Here is a 15711-nt window from a genome sequence, read left to right as displayed (position 1 = left end):
CCTGAGGTCAAGAGTTTTGAGACCATCCTGACCAACAAGGTGAAACTCTGTCTCTACTAAAAATACAAAAATTAGCCGGGCATGATGGCATGCCTGTAATCCCAGCCACCCGGAAGGCTGAGGCAGGAGAATCGCTTGAACCCAGGAGGCTGCAGTGAGCCAAGATCGCACCACTGCACACCAGCCTGGGCAACAGAGCAAGACTCCATCTCAAAAAAAAAAAAAAAAGTGCCTACTGAAAAATTGTTAACATGATTCTGTTTACATTTCTGTTGACAGCATCTTCTATCCACTTTCCTACATAATCATCCTTCACTTGGGTGAAGACAGTCTGTGTGATCACCTGAGTCTTCTCTTCTCTAGTTATATCAAAAGGCTTGCGCCTTTTAAATCTGTTGATAAACTGAAACCTCCTTGCTTCCTGGTTTTCTTACATGAATTGAGATCATCCCAGGACCTCACTGTCTTGAACAAGCTCAGTTCTCTCCACTCTTCCTCACAGATGATTTCTCATAGGACCAAATTTTGTCATCCTTGTTGTCCACATCTCAATATTCTCCAGGTTATGGCTATCTCTATCCCTCTTGCCCTCCAAAATGAGACCACAGGCGGGGCACAGTGGCTCATGCTTGTAATCCCAACACTTTGGGAAGCCAAGGCAGGCAGATTCCTTGAGCCCAGAAGTTGGACACCAGCCTGGGCAATGAAGTGAAACCCCTTCTCTACCAAAAAAAAAAAAGAAAGAAAGAAAAGAAAATAAATTTTTAAAAAAGGGGAGACAATCCTCCAGAGAACCGTTGCAGATGTCCCAGAAAGGTGATGCTCCCAAGTGCACAGGGACAGAAAGTAGAATGGTGGTTGCCAGGAGCTGGGTAGAGGGGAATGAGGGAGTTGTTTCACGGGTACAGAGTTTCAGTTTAGGATGATGGAAGAGTTCTAGAGATGGATGATGGTGGTGAGTGCACAACCACGTGACTATTTAGTGCCACTAAACTGTACACTTAAAAATTGATTAAAATAAGCTTTATGTTGTGTACATATTACCACAAATACAATAAAAGAAATGAAGTTCTCATACGTGCTGCAGCAGGGATGAACCTTGAAAAGATTATGCTAAGTGGCCGGGCATGGTGGCTCACACGCCTGTAATTACAGCACTTTGGGAGGCTGTGGCAGGAGGATCGTTTGAGCTAAGGAGCTGGAGACCAGCGTGGGCAACATGGCGAAACCTGGTCTCTACCAAAAATACAAAAATTAGCTAGGCAGTGGTGGCAGCGCACCTGTAGTCCCAGCTATTTGGGAGGCTGAGGTGGGAGGATCACTTGAAACCCGGAGGTGGAGGTTGCAGTGAGCTGAGCGCCACTGTGCCCCAGCCTGGGCGACAGAACGAGACCGTGTCTCAAAGAAAAAAAAATAAAAAATAAAAAACCTTGTACTAAGCAAAATAAGCCGACACAGAAGGACGAATATTATATGATTCCACTTATACGAAATACCTAGAATAGGTAAATTCATTAGACAATTAGCCAAAGTGTATCAGAGGAGGTTGGGGGGATGCTGAGGGGAGGGGAAAAGAAAAAAGAAAATCAAGGGGTGGGAAGCAAATGGCTGCGGGGTAGAAGGGGAGTGGGCTGCCGCTTGGGTGTGTGGGCGTCAGGGGGAGACGGGACAGGCGATTTAGGCCCTGCGCGCAGGCGCCCCTGCGCTCCCGCCGTACGCAGCTGTCTTTGTCTGGGGCGGCGGCAGCGTGGCAGGAGCGAGGGGCGCCCCGACCCGTCCCCTCTGCCCTCCACTACCCCTGCCGGCTCCAGCCCGTCCGTGTCTCACCGTCTTTATTTAACAAAGAACGGAGAGACTATAAATGACCCTGAGCAGAGTGGCTGCGAGCAGGGCCCCTGGGGCGTCCCACGGGCGTCATCCTAGCCGCGTGAGCGCCGAGCTTGGGCACCGGGGGGGTTGGCGTGCTTGTACACTTGCTCCGTTTTCTCTGTAAGTACTAAGGATTCCCCTGCCGCCCTCTTCCTCATTTTCCACCATCCCAATTTACACAAGCATTAGTATTTTTTTTTTTTTTTTTGAGACGGCGTCTCGCTCTGTCACCCAGGCTGGAGTGCAGTGGCGCGATCTCGGCTCACTGCAAGCTCCGCCTCCCGGGTTCACGCCATTCTCCTGCCTTAGCCTCCCGTGTAGCTGGGACTACAGGCGCCCGTCACTACGCCCGGCTAACTTTTTGTATTTTTAGTAGAGACGGGGTTTCACCGTGGTCTCGATCTCCTGACCTCGTGATCCGTCCGCCTCGGCCTCCCAAAGTGCTGGGATTACAGGCGTCAGCCACGCGCCCGGCCACAAGCATTAGTATTTACTTCCGTAATTTCCCCATGCCCATGTAACATCACACACACACACACACACACACACACACACGTTTGCTTTTGTTTTCCAAGATGGCATCTAGTAGGCGCTTCTCTTTGTTTTGCTTTTCTAGTACACCGTGGAACCCCAAATCCCAGCTGGGATTCACTCTTTTCTAATGGCTGAACATTCATCCGGGGCATGAAGGCAGCTCAGTTCATTTCATCATTCCTTTGTTTCCTCTGTTTTGCCACCAGAAACTGCCGCGATGAATGTCAGTCCCCAGAGCCGGAACCGTTCCCGGTTTTCTCTACTTGGATCTGAGAACTCTGTCCCTCCAGCCCTGCGAGCGCTTTGCCAGGGTGACGGGCGGAAATGTCCCCGCATCCGTGCCTGCTTTCCCAGATGGGACCCTCCAGCAGTCCCCTCCACTGCCCGTGCTTCCTCCTAACCACTTCCCCCCAGCGACCGCGGAAGGCGCTTCCTCCCCCGCAGCGCGAGCCCCAAGCTCCTCCAGAGCCCCAGCTCTCCCCGCCCCCTTCCCGACCTTGTTTCATATGACCCCTCCCCCGCACATACTCAATTTCGTCTTCCCAAGGCGCCCACTCTCCACATCCTGATGAAAAAAAGAGCCGGCTGCTGTCCTATGTTATTGTCATACTTCTTTCCTCCCGTGCACTACACAACTTGAACAACTTTTTTTTTTCTTTTTTTGAGAAAAGGTCTCGAACTGTCGCCCAGGCTGGAGTACAGTGGCACGATGATGGCTCACTGCAGCCTCGCCCTCTCTGGGCACAGGTGATCCTCCTGCCTCAGCTTCCCAAGAAGCTGGTACTACAGGCGCGTGCCACCACTATTGGCTAATTTTAATTTTTTTTTAACCACAGGGTCTCGCTATGTTGCCCAGGCTGGTCTCGAACCCCTAGGCTCAAGGGATCCTCTCACCTCAGCCTCCCAAAGCGTGAGATTACAGGCGTGAGCCACCGCGCCCCGCGGTAAATACTATTCCAAGGAAATGGCACCTGAGTTTGAGGAGATTAATCGGGTTTACTGCAGGGAAGGAGCATTGGCCCTGGTGGCCAGAGGCAAGGGTACGAACCTGACCCTGCCCTTTCCCTGCCTGGTTCTGCCTTCAGCAAATTGTTCCACACATCTCTGGTTTCCTCCCCACATGATCCCAAGGCCCTGCTGGCTCTAGCCTTTGTGAGGCTAGAATTACAATTCCATTCCTCCCCAGCCACGCCCCATCTCTTGCTCCCTGTGCTAGCGCTTTCCCCAATCAGCCACACTTTCCTTTCCCATTCACTGAGCCTGTGGAAAGCCCTCTTATTCTGAATATCTAGATCCTATTCACCTTTGAAGACCCGACTTGGCCACGTTTCTTCCCAAAGCCTACTGCATGCCCTTTGTGGGAGGAACTGCTCTGTCCTTGCAACGCCACTGTGTGTAGTACTTTCTCTGTATCTTACCAGTGGCATCGCCCACTCTGCCTGGGGTGCTGTTCCATACTTGCCCTTCTTCCAGTGCCATCTATGTGTGTGGTAAGACCTCAGCATAGCACTTTGCCCACGGTAAAGGATATGGTTTCGGGAGTCCCAAGACCCGGGTCCACGTCCCAGCTCTGACACTAAATGTGTTATCTTGAACATGTCACATGGCCTTTCTGAGCTTAATTTCCCCAAATGTAAAATGGAAATAGTAACTTATTTCATAGTGTTGCTGTGTTGATTAGATGAGACATTATATAAGAAAATGCTTTGTGAACTGTAAAGCTATTTACACACATAAATAATAGTAAAGATAGATATTATTCAGATGCTGGCAAGAGGGATATTCTTTGCAAAACAGAATTAAAAAAAAAAAAGAAAAGAAGGCATGGTGGCTCATCTCTATAAACCCAACACTTAGCACTTAGGGAGGTCGAGGCGAGAGGATCACTTGAGCCCAGGAGTTCAAAACCAGCCTGGGCAACATAGCAAGACTCCCGTCTCTACAAAAATAAAATTAGCCTGGCATGGTGGCATGCGCCATTAATCCTAGCTATTTGGGAGCCTGAGCCCAGGAATTTGAGGTTACAGTGAATTATGATCATCCCACTGCACTGCAGCCTGAGTTGCAGAGCATCTCTTGAAAAAAAAAACAAAAATGTGGGAAAACTGTGGAAAATGAAAAAGACTTCTTGGTTGCCATCTCCAAATTTGGGGACTGATTCCTAATTATTCCTTTTAGATCAATTACCAGGTGATGTTAAATATACTGTAATAGTAAAAGCTAGAAATAATCTAACTTTTGAACAGTTGGAGGATGATGAAGTTATGGGTAATGGGAATAATATGTTATCATCAAAGTTAAATTTCTGAAGAATATTTAATGACATGGGAAACCAGTCATAATATAACATGAAAGCTAAAAAAGCAAGGTACTAAATAGTGGTGGAGAGGAGGTGTAAGAAGAGACTTTTCTCACCACCCTTCACAGCTTTCTGTTTGGCCCCTGAGTGGGGTGTCTGATGCCAGAGAACGTGGGACATATTCTAAGGCCTTAGTCTTACACAAATAGCTCACTCCCTGCCTCCCAAGAGACAGGGATTCAGAACAGGTGAACCAGGAGCCTAGAGCCTCAGGGGAGACCAAGGACTGTCCCAGATCCAGGCCCTGATTCTGTGGCCCAATGGCCTGACAATCTAAGGTCCTCTGTCTACCACTTCTTCCAGCCGGACTGTGGACCTCAAACATAACCTCTCACTTCCTGCTTTGACACTGTTTCCAGAGTGGGTTTATAGGAAAGACCTCCTCCAAAAAAGCAGGCTCCAACTACCAACACTAGAGAACTAAGCTCTAGCCAGGTGCAGTGGCTCACGCCTAATCCCAGCACTTTGGGAGGCCGAGGGGGGCAGATCACTTGAGGTCAGGAATTCAAGAGCAGCCTGGCCAACATGGCAAATCCCTGTCTCTACTTTTAAAAATACAAAAATTAGCCGAGCGTGCTGGTGTGTGCCTGTAATCCCAGCTACTTGGGAGGCTGAGGCATGAGAATTGCTTGAACCCAGGAGGCAGAGGTTGTAGTGAGCTGAGATCACACCACTACACTCCAGCCCAGGCAAGGCAACAGAGCGAGACACCGCCTCAAAAAAAAAAAAAAGAAAAGAAAAGAAAAAGAGAGAACTAAGTTCCAAAAAGAGGGGCCATGTGGGCCACAGGAGAGGACAAAAATGAGCTGTCACTGGTGGTTGGGGAAGTGCAAGGGGCTCCAGAGAGAAGGTGACATTTATGCTGGTCATGGGATGGTATTTGGCAAGTGGAGATATGATCATTAAAAGAAAGTTGTATTGTTATTATCTTACATTTCATAGTTCAGGATGGGGGAGGGGAGATGTTTTGTTTAAAATACCCTTTCTCCTCTTTTTTTTTTTTTGAGATGGAGTCTTGCACTGTCACCCAGGCTGGAGTGCAGTGGCCCGATCTCGGCTCACTGCAAGCTCTGCCTCCCGGGTTCACACCATTCTCCTGCCTCAGTCTCGCAAGTAGCTGGGACTACAGGTGCCCGCCACCACGCCTGGCTAATTTTTTTTGTATTTTTAGTAGAGACGGGGTTTCACCATGTTAGCCAGGATGGTTTCCATCTCCTGACCTCGTGATCCACCCACCTCGGCCTCCCAAACTGCTGGGATTACAGGCATGAGCCACTGCACCCGGCCCCCTTTCTCCTCTTATTAAAACTTTTATTGTAGAAAATGTGGAAAATAAAGATAAGAATATTAAAACATAAATAAATAAAGATAAGAATAAAAGTTTCCAGGCCAGGTGCAGTGGCTTACGCCTTTAATCCTAGCACTTTGGGAGGCCAAGGCGGGCGGATCACCTGAGGTCGGGAGTTCGAGACCAGCCTGACCAAAATGGAGAAACCCTGTCTCTACTAAAAATACAAAATTAGCCAGATGTGGTGGCTCACGCCTGTAATCCCAGCTACTTGGGAGGCTGAGGCAGGAGAATTGCTTGAACCTGGGAGGCAGAGGTTGCGGTGAGCTGAGATTGCGCCATTGTACTCTAGCCTGGGCGACAGAGCGAGACTCTGCCTCAAACAAAAAAAAGGAATAAAAGTTTCCTATAACCTCACCATCTAGAGCAGTGGTTCTTAACCCTGGCTGCACATTAGTGTCTCCTGGGGAGTGTTTAGGAAATACCATGAACTTTCTCCACCAATAACTTGAAGGGAAAAAAAAGAAAAGAAATACCATGAACCATCTGCAGAGAATCTGGTTCACGTGGGGCGAGGTGGGCCCCATGTTCTCTCTCTCTCTCTTTTTTTTTTTTTTTTGAGACGGAGTCTTGCTCTGTTGACCAGGCTGGAGTGCAATGGTGCAATCTTGGCTCGCTGCAACCTCTGCCTCACAGGTTCAAGTGATTCTCCTGCCTCAGTCTCCCGAGTAGCTGGGATTACAGATGTGCACCACCACACCCCGCTAATTTTTGTATTTTTAGTAGAGATGGGGTTTCACCATGTCAAACTCCTGACCCCAGTTGATCCACCCACCTTGGCCTCCCAAAGTGCTGGGATTACAAGCGTGAGCCACCATGCCTGGCCTGTTCTCTTGCTCATACACACACACACACACACACACACACACACACACACACACACACAAAATCTCACCCCATCCATTAGCAAATTCTATCAGTCTACCTTCAAAATAGATCCAAGATCTGAACACATGTCACTGTTTCCTCTGCCATCATCCTGGTCCAAGTCACCACCTCCTACCTGGATTATTGCAGTAACCTCCTAAGTGTTGTCCAACTTCTGTCTTCAGCCCCCATACCTGTCCCCTAAGCCTGTCTTCCACATTGCACTCTCTAGAGTGATCCTTTAAAAACCTAAGTCAGGGCCGGGCTCAGTGGCTTATGCCTGTAACCCTAGCACTTTGGGAGGCCAAGGCAGATGGATCACTTGAGGTCAGGAGTTCAAGATCAGCCTGGCCAACATGGTGAATCCCTGTCTCTACTAAAAATATAAAAATTAGCTGGGCATGGTGGCACACCCATGTAATCCCAGCTACTAGGGAGGCTGAGGCAGGAAAATCGCTTGTGCTCGGGAGTGGGAGGTTTCAGCAAGCCGAGATTGTGCCACTGCACTCCAGCCTCGGCGACAAAGCAAGACTCCATCTCAAAAATAAATAAATAAATAAAAATAAGAACCTAAGTCAGGACATGTCCCTTCCCTACTCAAAATCCTCCCCACGGCTCCCCATCTCACTCAGAGTAAATGACAAATCCTTAGAATGCCCACAGGGTCCTACATGACCCAACCTGGGCTGCTTTGCTGCCCTTGTCTCCTGCCAGTGACACCTGTGCTCACCATACTCCAGCCACACTGGCCTCCTTGCTGTTCTTAAAACACAGCAAGCATGTGCTGCCTCAAGGCCTTTGCACTGGCTGTTCCCTCTGCCTAGCCTCCCTTGGTAGTTCTCACCATTTCTTCAGGTCTCTGGTAAATCTCAACTCATCAGAGGGGCCTTCCCTGCCTACCCTAAATAAACCTGCAAAGTCCCTCACAGTCCCTAGACCCTCTTGTCTGCTGTACTCTTCTCCAGGGCACTTTTTACCAACACACCTATGATGTCTTTTTTGTTAATCCCAGGCCTCAGACTTAGAGTCTTGCAAAGTATCTCTTGAAAATAGCTCCTCAGCTTCCATCTCAAACCGTCTCTGCTGAGGTTCAACAGTCCCATTGTCTGCATCGCACCTCCCCCAAGCCTGTGTTCTCTAAACTCCTCCCTCCTTCTGCCTTCATCAGTCAGCTCGGGAAAATGAACTCCTATAGGAGTGGTCAGGCTTTCAGCCCCCAGAATGGCCCAAACTCAAGCCCCATGTTGGGGCTTTGCTAGTTAACTTATTAATTAATTAATTATATTTTGTAAACAAGATCATAACATTCCTATTGTTGGACAGCCAGGGTTTGTTTTTTTTTCCTCAAGTTTTTTACTATTGTTAACAACCTTGAACACACCCATGATTGTTTCCTTGAGATAAATTATTTGAAGAGGGATTATTAAGACAAAGGGTACAATTTTCAAGGCTTCTGGTGTGTATTGCCAATTTTTCTCCCAGTTTATCTAATTATACTCCCACTAGCAATATGTGGCGCCTTTTATAGTGTTACATCCTTGACAAAACTGGGTATTTAAAAAACATTGGGAGTTGAAAAAAAATTAGATCCTGTCTTAATTGACGTTATTGGTGAAGTTGAACATCTTTTTATTTTTATTTATTTATTTATTTTTGAGACTGAGTCTCTGTTGCACAAGCTAGAGTGCAGTGGGCATTCTTGGCTCACTGCAACCTCTGCCTCCTGGGTTCAAGTGATTCTTGTGCCTCCGCCTCCCAAGTAGCTGAGCCTACAGGCATGCGCCACCATGCTCAGCTAATTTTTGTATTTTTAGTAGAGACGGGGTTTCACATGTTGGCCAGGCTGGTCTAGAACTCCTGACCTCACGTGATCTACCCACCTCAGCCTCCCAAAGTCTGGGATTACAGGCTTGAGCCACTGCACCCGGCGAACATCTTTTTATCTATTTCCCTTTTTCTCATGATTTGCCTCCGTCCCTTTTCTTCTGTTGGAATATCAGACTTTTTCACTTCTTGATTTATAATCATTATTTTAATAGTAAGAATTTGACACTTTGACATGTGGATGCAGATGTTTTTTCAGTTTTACACCTTTCAATTCTGTTGTATGTTTTAATATAGACAATTTAGAAATATTTTACAAAATCTAGTTTCAAAATCTTTTTCCTTGCAGCTTTTGGTTTTGGTTTTATGTTTCTGGGTGGCAAGTTTTAAATAGGCCTCATAATATTCCCTGACATCTGAGATCCCATATTAAGTGGAGAGGGTTATAAATCTCAGACATTCCAGTTCTCAATCCACTTAGCCAGTGCCTTTCAAACTTTTTTTTTTTAAACTAAGACTTGTGGTAAAAGATACATTTTTACATACCATTATACATAAATATATTTATTTTTGAAAATTATTTTAAAACGTTTTATGAAACATTATGTACCATAACTACATGTGATATAGTCTGATATTTCCCGCTTGACTAATTTTATCTTATTTTTTAAGTGTTGGTCTTTACCTAGTAAATTGCTTTAACAAACCCATCAGTGGATTCTTGACTCAGGGTTTGAAAAACAGGTCAGGACCGTGAAGAGGCTGATTTTTCTCTCTGCCCAAATCATACCTCCTTCCATGCCACTTTCACTTATTTCCCACTCCAGAGGGGTGATGGAGAGGCCAGACAATCATAAATCCATAGAGGAACACTGAAGACTTGTGCAGGAGCACTCAGGCTGAACTAAGCTCTGATTGACATCTAACAGGCAAGAGTAAAAACTCTGGTTTTGAATTTCAAGCCTGAGGTTTAGAATAAAGTTCCTTCTAGTTCCATGGTCCTGAAATCCTCACCCTAACTATACTCATTTTAGTGTAGTCCTAGAAAACTCCTCTTGTCCACTGTGTAATCCTGGACTTGGCAACAAATGGTCACCAGGATCTGCTCCAGCTCAGCTGTTCTTGCAATTAGAGCCCAAGACAAGGGTGACATTACTTTCTTGGGCATAGAAACTAATCTGATGCATTCTTTGTACGTACATTTACACTGGCATGGAGAAGCCAGCCCCACTGTGCAAGGGTGGAGAATCATTAGGTAACTTACTCTGAAAAAAGAACTGATGACATAAAGTGAATAAAGAAGTGATGAATCCATGAGAAAGTCCTCATAAGAAACACCCGTCTAGGATTTGGGATCAGAAGACCTAAATTCAAGTCCCCATTCTGTCTGGAATTTCCCAACATTGTGTGTTCTGGGTCACGTCAAAACTCTGTGCCTCATCTTTCTCATCCATAAATGGTTATAATAATAGCAGCTTTCTCAGGATTGTAGAGAAATGCAATTGAAATAGCAGTAAGGTAGGTGCTAAGCAGTGGTAGTTGCTGCTGTCGATTTATATACAGGCCTTCCTGAGTTTGAAAGGCTGTTAAACCACTGGCCAGTTAATTTGGCGAGTGATTTGTGCCTATAGATTAACTCCAGTTAGAGTTAATGGTTCTAATATCCTTAAGAGCATTTTAGAGTTTAGGCCAGACACCTCTGGTTATTGCTTGTTAGGGCTGACTGTGCATGGGCAGGTTTCCATGTCATGAGCCCCAAAGCACAGCTAAACCGAGTCAAATGCATGGCACACATTTTTCTTTTCTTTCTTCCGAAAGAGCCTTCAGGGGTTTCTGGAGAGTGAGCACAGCCTGCCTTCCAGGCACCTCTGAGCTTTCTTGGTTGTGTGCCTTTCATTTTCATTTGCCCTGAGCGGCCCTTGCACCCACTAAGCCCCCAAGGGTGACTTTGGAAGACAAGCTCCAGCAACCTTGGTGTAGTTAAGATGAGTTTTAACACTGAAGGATAAAGCGAGGCCAGAATTGCAGATATGCTGCCCAGGTTTGCAGCCCCTGATAATGGTGAAACCTTGAAGGGAGCAAACTGTGAGGCTGAGGCTGAATTGATAGCTCCAAATGTTGCCATGGAGGCTTCTCGGGTGACAGGCTACTTCTGTTCCCTTTTTCCTCCCCACAGAAAATTTTCTGCTGGGGACTTACCTGAGGGGACTGCCTGACTCACAGGGATTTCCCTCCTCTGGGAAGAGCCAACACCTAGGATGCACCCCAGTGGCCATGTCTAGGGTTCAGGACTCTGTCTCCCTGGGCAGAGCTGACTGATAGGGCTGTGGGCACCTAACACAGGCAGGCAAACCAGATTCTCTCTCCTAGGAATTTGAAACCTGAACAGAATCTCTGAGCCTGGCAAGCTTGGAGCAGTGTCACATGAATGCTCGTGTTTTAGAATGAAGGTCCCTCAGCTGCCGCGGTCCCTGCCTGTCTAGGGCTGTTTGTTAGCACTTCCTTTAGTCCCCGGAGCCACCCTAGGCTCCTTCTAATAATGTCCTGTTTTGATTAGGTAGTCAGAGTTGCTTTGGGAGGACTCAAAGCAAAACCAAGCCTAACAAGAAAGCCATTATAAGGAATGGGGCACTGGAAACAGCATGGACTTGGTTGATTTTTTTTTAAACTCTTCCCACACCCAAGGTAGTTTTGAATCTTAGTTTTCAACTGGCCAGCTGTATATATAAATTTACACAAGTTACCTTTTCTTTCTTTCTTTCTTTTTTTTTTTTTTTTGAGATGGAGATTTGCTCTTGTTGCCCAGGCTGGAGTGCAATGGTGCGATCTTGGCTCACTGCAACCTCCGCCTCCCAGGTTCAAGTGATTCTCCTGCCTCAGCTTTCCGAGTATCTGGGATTACAGGCATGCACCACCACATCTGGCTAATTTTGTATTTTTAGTAGAGACAGGGTTTCTCCATGTTGGTCAGGCTGGTCTTGAACTCCTTACCTCAGGTGATCCACCCCCTTTGGCCTCCCAGAATGCTGGGATTACAGGCGTGAGCCACGGCACCCAGCCACAAGTTACTTTTTCTAAGCTTTAATTTCCTTGACTATAAAATGGTAACCACTGGGTGCAGTGGCTCACTCTTGTAATCCCAGCCCTTTGGGAGGCTAAGGCAGGAGGATTGCTTGCAGCCAGGAATTCGACATCAGCCTAGGCAACATAGTGTGAACCCTCCCCCACACCCCCGCCAAAAAAATTAGCTGGGCATGGTGGTACACACCTAGGGTCCTAGCTACTTGGGAGGCTGAAGTGGAAGGATTGCTTGATGCCAGAAGGTTGAGGCTATGGTGAGCTATAATTGCGCCACTACGCTCCGTCCAGCCTGGGCAACAGAGGTCTACCCTGTCTTTTCTTTTCTTTTTTTTTTTTTGAGATGGAGTCTCACTCTGTCACCCAGGCTGGAGTGCAGTGGCGCAATCTCGGCTCACTGCAATCTCCGCCTCCCGGGTTCAAGCGATTCTCCAGCCTCAGCCTCCCGAGTGGCTGGGATTACAGGCACGTGCTATCACACCCAACTAATTTTTGTATTTTTAGTAGAGACGGGGTTTCACCATGTTGGACAAGATGGTCTCGACCTCCTGAGCTTGTGGTTCACCCACCTTGGCCTCCCAAAGTGCTGGGATTACAGGAGTGAGCCACTGCACCCAGCGAGACCCTGTCTTTATAAAACAAAAACAAAAACGTAAATGCTTTCTTTACAGTTTTAAAAATTGGGATCATCTACTTCATAAAATTGGTTCTTTGATTAGTCTAATGATATTTCTTGTGGTCCCACAGAGGCATTTTTGCTCATTTCCTAGCCCTCAGTGTGACAGATGGCTGAGGCTTCTGGGCATTGGTGATATTAGGGTACTTTAAATTTCACTACATTTAACATTTTGTTAAACCAGGAATCCTTTCTTTCTCCATCTTCTCTAGGAATCAAAGGTTTCAATACTTCTCCTACTTGAGATTTTTGTTTGTTTTATCTCTTTAAAAGCCCCCTCTACAGAAGGGCCAGGGGCATGGTGGTAGCAACTACACATCCAGGAAAGTCTTGAGTTTTTTGTTTGTTTTTTTGAGACAGGGTCTCACTCTGTCGCCCTGGCTGGGGTGCAGTGGCACGAACGCTACTCACTGCAGCCTCAACCTCCTGGGTTCAAGCGATCTTCCTGCCTCAGCCTCCCGAGTAGCTGGGACCACAGGCATGCACCACCATGGCTAACTAATTGTAAGATTTTTTTGCTGTTGTTGCCCAGGCTGGTCTTGAATTCTTGGCCTCAAGTGATCTTCCTGTCTTGGCTTCCCAAAATGCTGGGATTATAGGCGTGAGACATCGTGCCTGGCAGTCTTGTTTTTTTTCAATTGTAGTGAAATACACATAACATAAAGTTTACCATCTCAGCCATCTAAGTGTACATGGCATTAAGCACATTCACATTGTTGTGTAACCATAGGATGATCTTGTTTTAAAGCAATTTTAAATATTTAAATTGCATTGTATTTTAATTTTTCTGCTGTATGCAAAATTGTCATATGAATAAAAAACTTTTAAACCCTTTGTCAGACCACCTGTCTCTGTTTTTCAAACTGCAGTAACAGTATGAACTAGGTCAAGTCCTAAGCAGTTTTGAGCTCTGCCCTGGGGAACATTACTCAGAAGTTAGTGCTGGAAGGGAATTTAGGAGTTGTCCAGTCCATGGGCCTTCCTTGATTTACATGATTGCCCATTTAGTTGGTTATTCAGGCATCAAACCTTTACTGAGCCTCTGTGCCAGGAACTGGAAAGGGTACTGGGGGAAGAACACAGCTGGGGTGGCCAAGCCACTGTCCTTCCCAGTGGAGCTCATGGCTGTCCAGAGGCAGATACGGACTCAGGACAATAGGGAAAGGGGCTCAGTGAGCTGGAGAGTATGAGATGAGATTAAAAATGTAGCCTGGGACCAGATTTTAAAGGCTTCAAATGTCATAGAGAAGAGTTTAGATTTTCTTTTATTTTTTGCTACAGGTAATGGAGTCAGTGGGGTGGGAGTGGAGGTGGAGTCATGTGCATTTTAGAGTCAGTGCTGGCAGCATTGTAGATAGAGGGTGGGCTGGAGGGGTGCAAAATCAAGCTCAGTGAGAAACCTGTTGCACTCAGTAGCTTGGAAACATTAAATGTCTTTTAAAATCACACAGTGACAGAGCCAGGCCGACTGCCCAGCCCCAGGTTCTTTCTAAGCAAATGCAATAGGATGGATTTTTTCTTTTTTTTTTTTTTTTTTTTTGAGACGGAGTCTCACTCTGTCACCCAGGCTGGAGTGCAGTGGCTTGATCTCGGCTCACTGCAAGCTCCACCTCCCGGGTTCACGCCATTCTCCTGCCTCAGCCTCCCGAGTAGCTGGGACTATAGGCGCCCACCACGACGCCCGGCTAATTTTTTTTGTATTTTTAGTAGAGACGGGGTTTCACCAGGTTAGCCAGGATGGTCTCGATCTCCTGACCTTGTGATCCGCCCGCCTCGGCCTCCCAAAGTGCTGGGATTACAGGCGTGAGCCACCGTGCCCGGCAGGATGGATTTTTTCAAAACTTTGCAATACCGGATTTTGCCAGTATTTCCTTCTAAAGAAGGCTCTCTCCCACCCAGTCCATGTTCTTTCCCTCATTCCATTGCTAGTTTCCCCAAAGCCTCCCTGGGGAAAGGCCTCTCCTCAAGATTATACTACTAGGAATGAAACTTGCTAGAAAAATGTGAAGCATTCCTGAACACCACCTCCACACCAGCAGCAGGCTTTGCAATGCTATCTTTGTGCCTTCCAGATAAAGAGATCGAAGTTTCTCCAAGATCTGATTCCCCAGGCTGATTTACATGAGGGGGGGTGTCAGTGGGGAGGAGGGATAGGCATGATCTGCAGAGAGGATGCAGATGGAAATTTCTGTTCCAAAGGTGAAGTCTCTCATGGCTGACAGCACTGGATCGCATTAACAAGGAAACCAGCCCTGCTCTCTGGCTGTGGGATCAGACACAAAATCTAAGGAACAGTTTGACTTCAATCTAGAATCCTGCAATATCTAAGCTGGAAGAGTCCTTAGGCCTATCTAGGCCAACCCACCCATTTTATGAATGGGGAAATTGAGCCCCAGGAAGTGGGAGATCAGACCTGGAGACAAGTGCTCTTGGCTTTATGCCAAGTATCCTTTCCACAGCCTCCTGCTGCTCTCATCCAATAGTACATGTGTATGTGTGCATAGATTTATAAATAAGTAAAACTTGAAAGATAAATAAAACAACAGAAAGTGCCCTTAAGTGGCTGCATTTTTTAAAATGTGCCACACTGGGTGCCGTGGCGCATGCCTGTGGTCCCTGCTACTCCGGAGGCTGAGCCGAGAGAATCCCTTGAGGCCAGGAGTTTGAGGTTGTAGTGTGTTATGATCACATCTGTGAACAGTCACTGCGCCTCAGCCTGAGCAACATAGCGAGACCCCTTCTTTAGAAAGAATTATTATTATTTCTTTTTTGGGATGGAGTTTTGCTCTTGTTGCCCAGACTGGAGTGCAATGGCATGATCTTGGCAACCTCTGCCTCCACGGTTCAAGCAATTCTCCTGCCTCAGCCTCCCGAGTAGCTGGGATTACTGGCATGTGCCACCATGCCTGGCTAATTTTGTATTTTTAGTAGAGACAGGGTTTTTCCATGTTGGTCAGGCTGGTCTCGAACTCCCAATCTCAGGTGATCCGCCCGCCTTGGCCTCCCAAAGTGCTGGGATTACAGGCGTAAGCCACCGCGCCCCGCCCATTTCCTGTATCTCTTACTCTACCAGCATGTCATAAATGTTTAGCAATCTTTGTAAAAAAAAACAAAAAAAAAAAGGAAGACTAGGAAAGAGAGCAGACAGATTGCTAT

At 46.8% G+C, this 15711-nt stretch overlaps 1 long non-coding RNA gene across 1 annotated transcript, besides 6 other annotated features; it reads left to right on the top strand.

Moving 5' to 3' along the window:
• LINC01816 (long intergenic non-protein coding RNA 1816) lies at window positions 1719-2999 on the top strand. Its single transcript, NR_024444.1, has 2 exons — window positions 1719-1989; window positions 2610-2999. It is a non-coding gene; the product is annotated as a long intergenic non-protein coding RNA 1816 (long non-coding RNA).
• Window positions 1804-2098: a silencer, noted in NCBI's record as "tiled region #3961; K562 Repressive DNase matched - State 1:Tss". NCBI's record gives its function as "represses a minimal TATA promoter and a strong SV40 promoter by Sharpr-MPRA in K562 cells {active_cell/tissue: K562}" and the evidence as "EXISTENCE:reporter gene assay evidence [ECO:0000049][PMID:27701403]".
• Window positions 2425-3230: an enhancer, noted in NCBI's record as "NANOG-H3K27ac-H3K4me1 hESC enhancer chr2:70350937-70351742 (GRCh37/hg19 assembly coordinates)". NCBI's record gives its function as "activates a minimal SCP1, AML or CMV promoter by ChIP-STARR-seq in naive and primed H9 embryonic stem cells {active_cell/tissue: H9 hESC(naive and primed)}" and the evidence as "EXISTENCE:reporter gene assay evidence [ECO:0000049][PMID:30033119]".
• Window positions 3231-4036: an enhancer, noted in NCBI's record as "NANOG-H3K27ac-H3K4me1 hESC enhancer chr2:70350131-70350936 (GRCh37/hg19 assembly coordinates)". NCBI's record gives its function as "activates a minimal SCP1, AML or CMV promoter by ChIP-STARR-seq in naive and primed H9 embryonic stem cells {active_cell/tissue: H9 hESC(naive and primed)}" and the evidence as "EXISTENCE:reporter gene assay evidence [ECO:0000049][PMID:30033119]".
• Window positions 5852-5951: an enhancer, noted in NCBI's record as "active region_15994". NCBI's record gives its function as "activates an Ori minimal core promoter by ATAC-STARR-seq in GM12878 lymphoblastoid cells {active_cell/tissue: GM12878}" and the evidence as "EXISTENCE:reporter gene assay evidence [ECO:0000049][PMID:35858748]".
• Window positions 10779-10838: an enhancer, noted in NCBI's record as "active region_15993". NCBI's record gives its function as "activates an Ori minimal core promoter by ATAC-STARR-seq in GM12878 lymphoblastoid cells {active_cell/tissue: GM12878}" and the evidence as "EXISTENCE:reporter gene assay evidence [ECO:0000049][PMID:35858748]".
• Window positions 10859-11048: an enhancer, noted in NCBI's record as "active region_15992". NCBI's record gives its function as "activates an Ori minimal core promoter by ATAC-STARR-seq in GM12878 lymphoblastoid cells {active_cell/tissue: GM12878}" and the evidence as "EXISTENCE:reporter gene assay evidence [ECO:0000049][PMID:35858748]".

This window comes from Homo sapiens, chromosome 2 (genome assembly GCF_000001405.40).
Source record: "Homo sapiens chromosome 2, GRCh38.p14 Primary Assembly".
In the NCBI taxonomy this organism is placed as follows: domain Eukaryota; kingdom Metazoa; phylum Chordata; class Mammalia; order Primates; family Hominidae; genus Homo; species Homo sapiens.
This window is presented reverse-complemented; position numbering and strand designations above follow the sequence as displayed.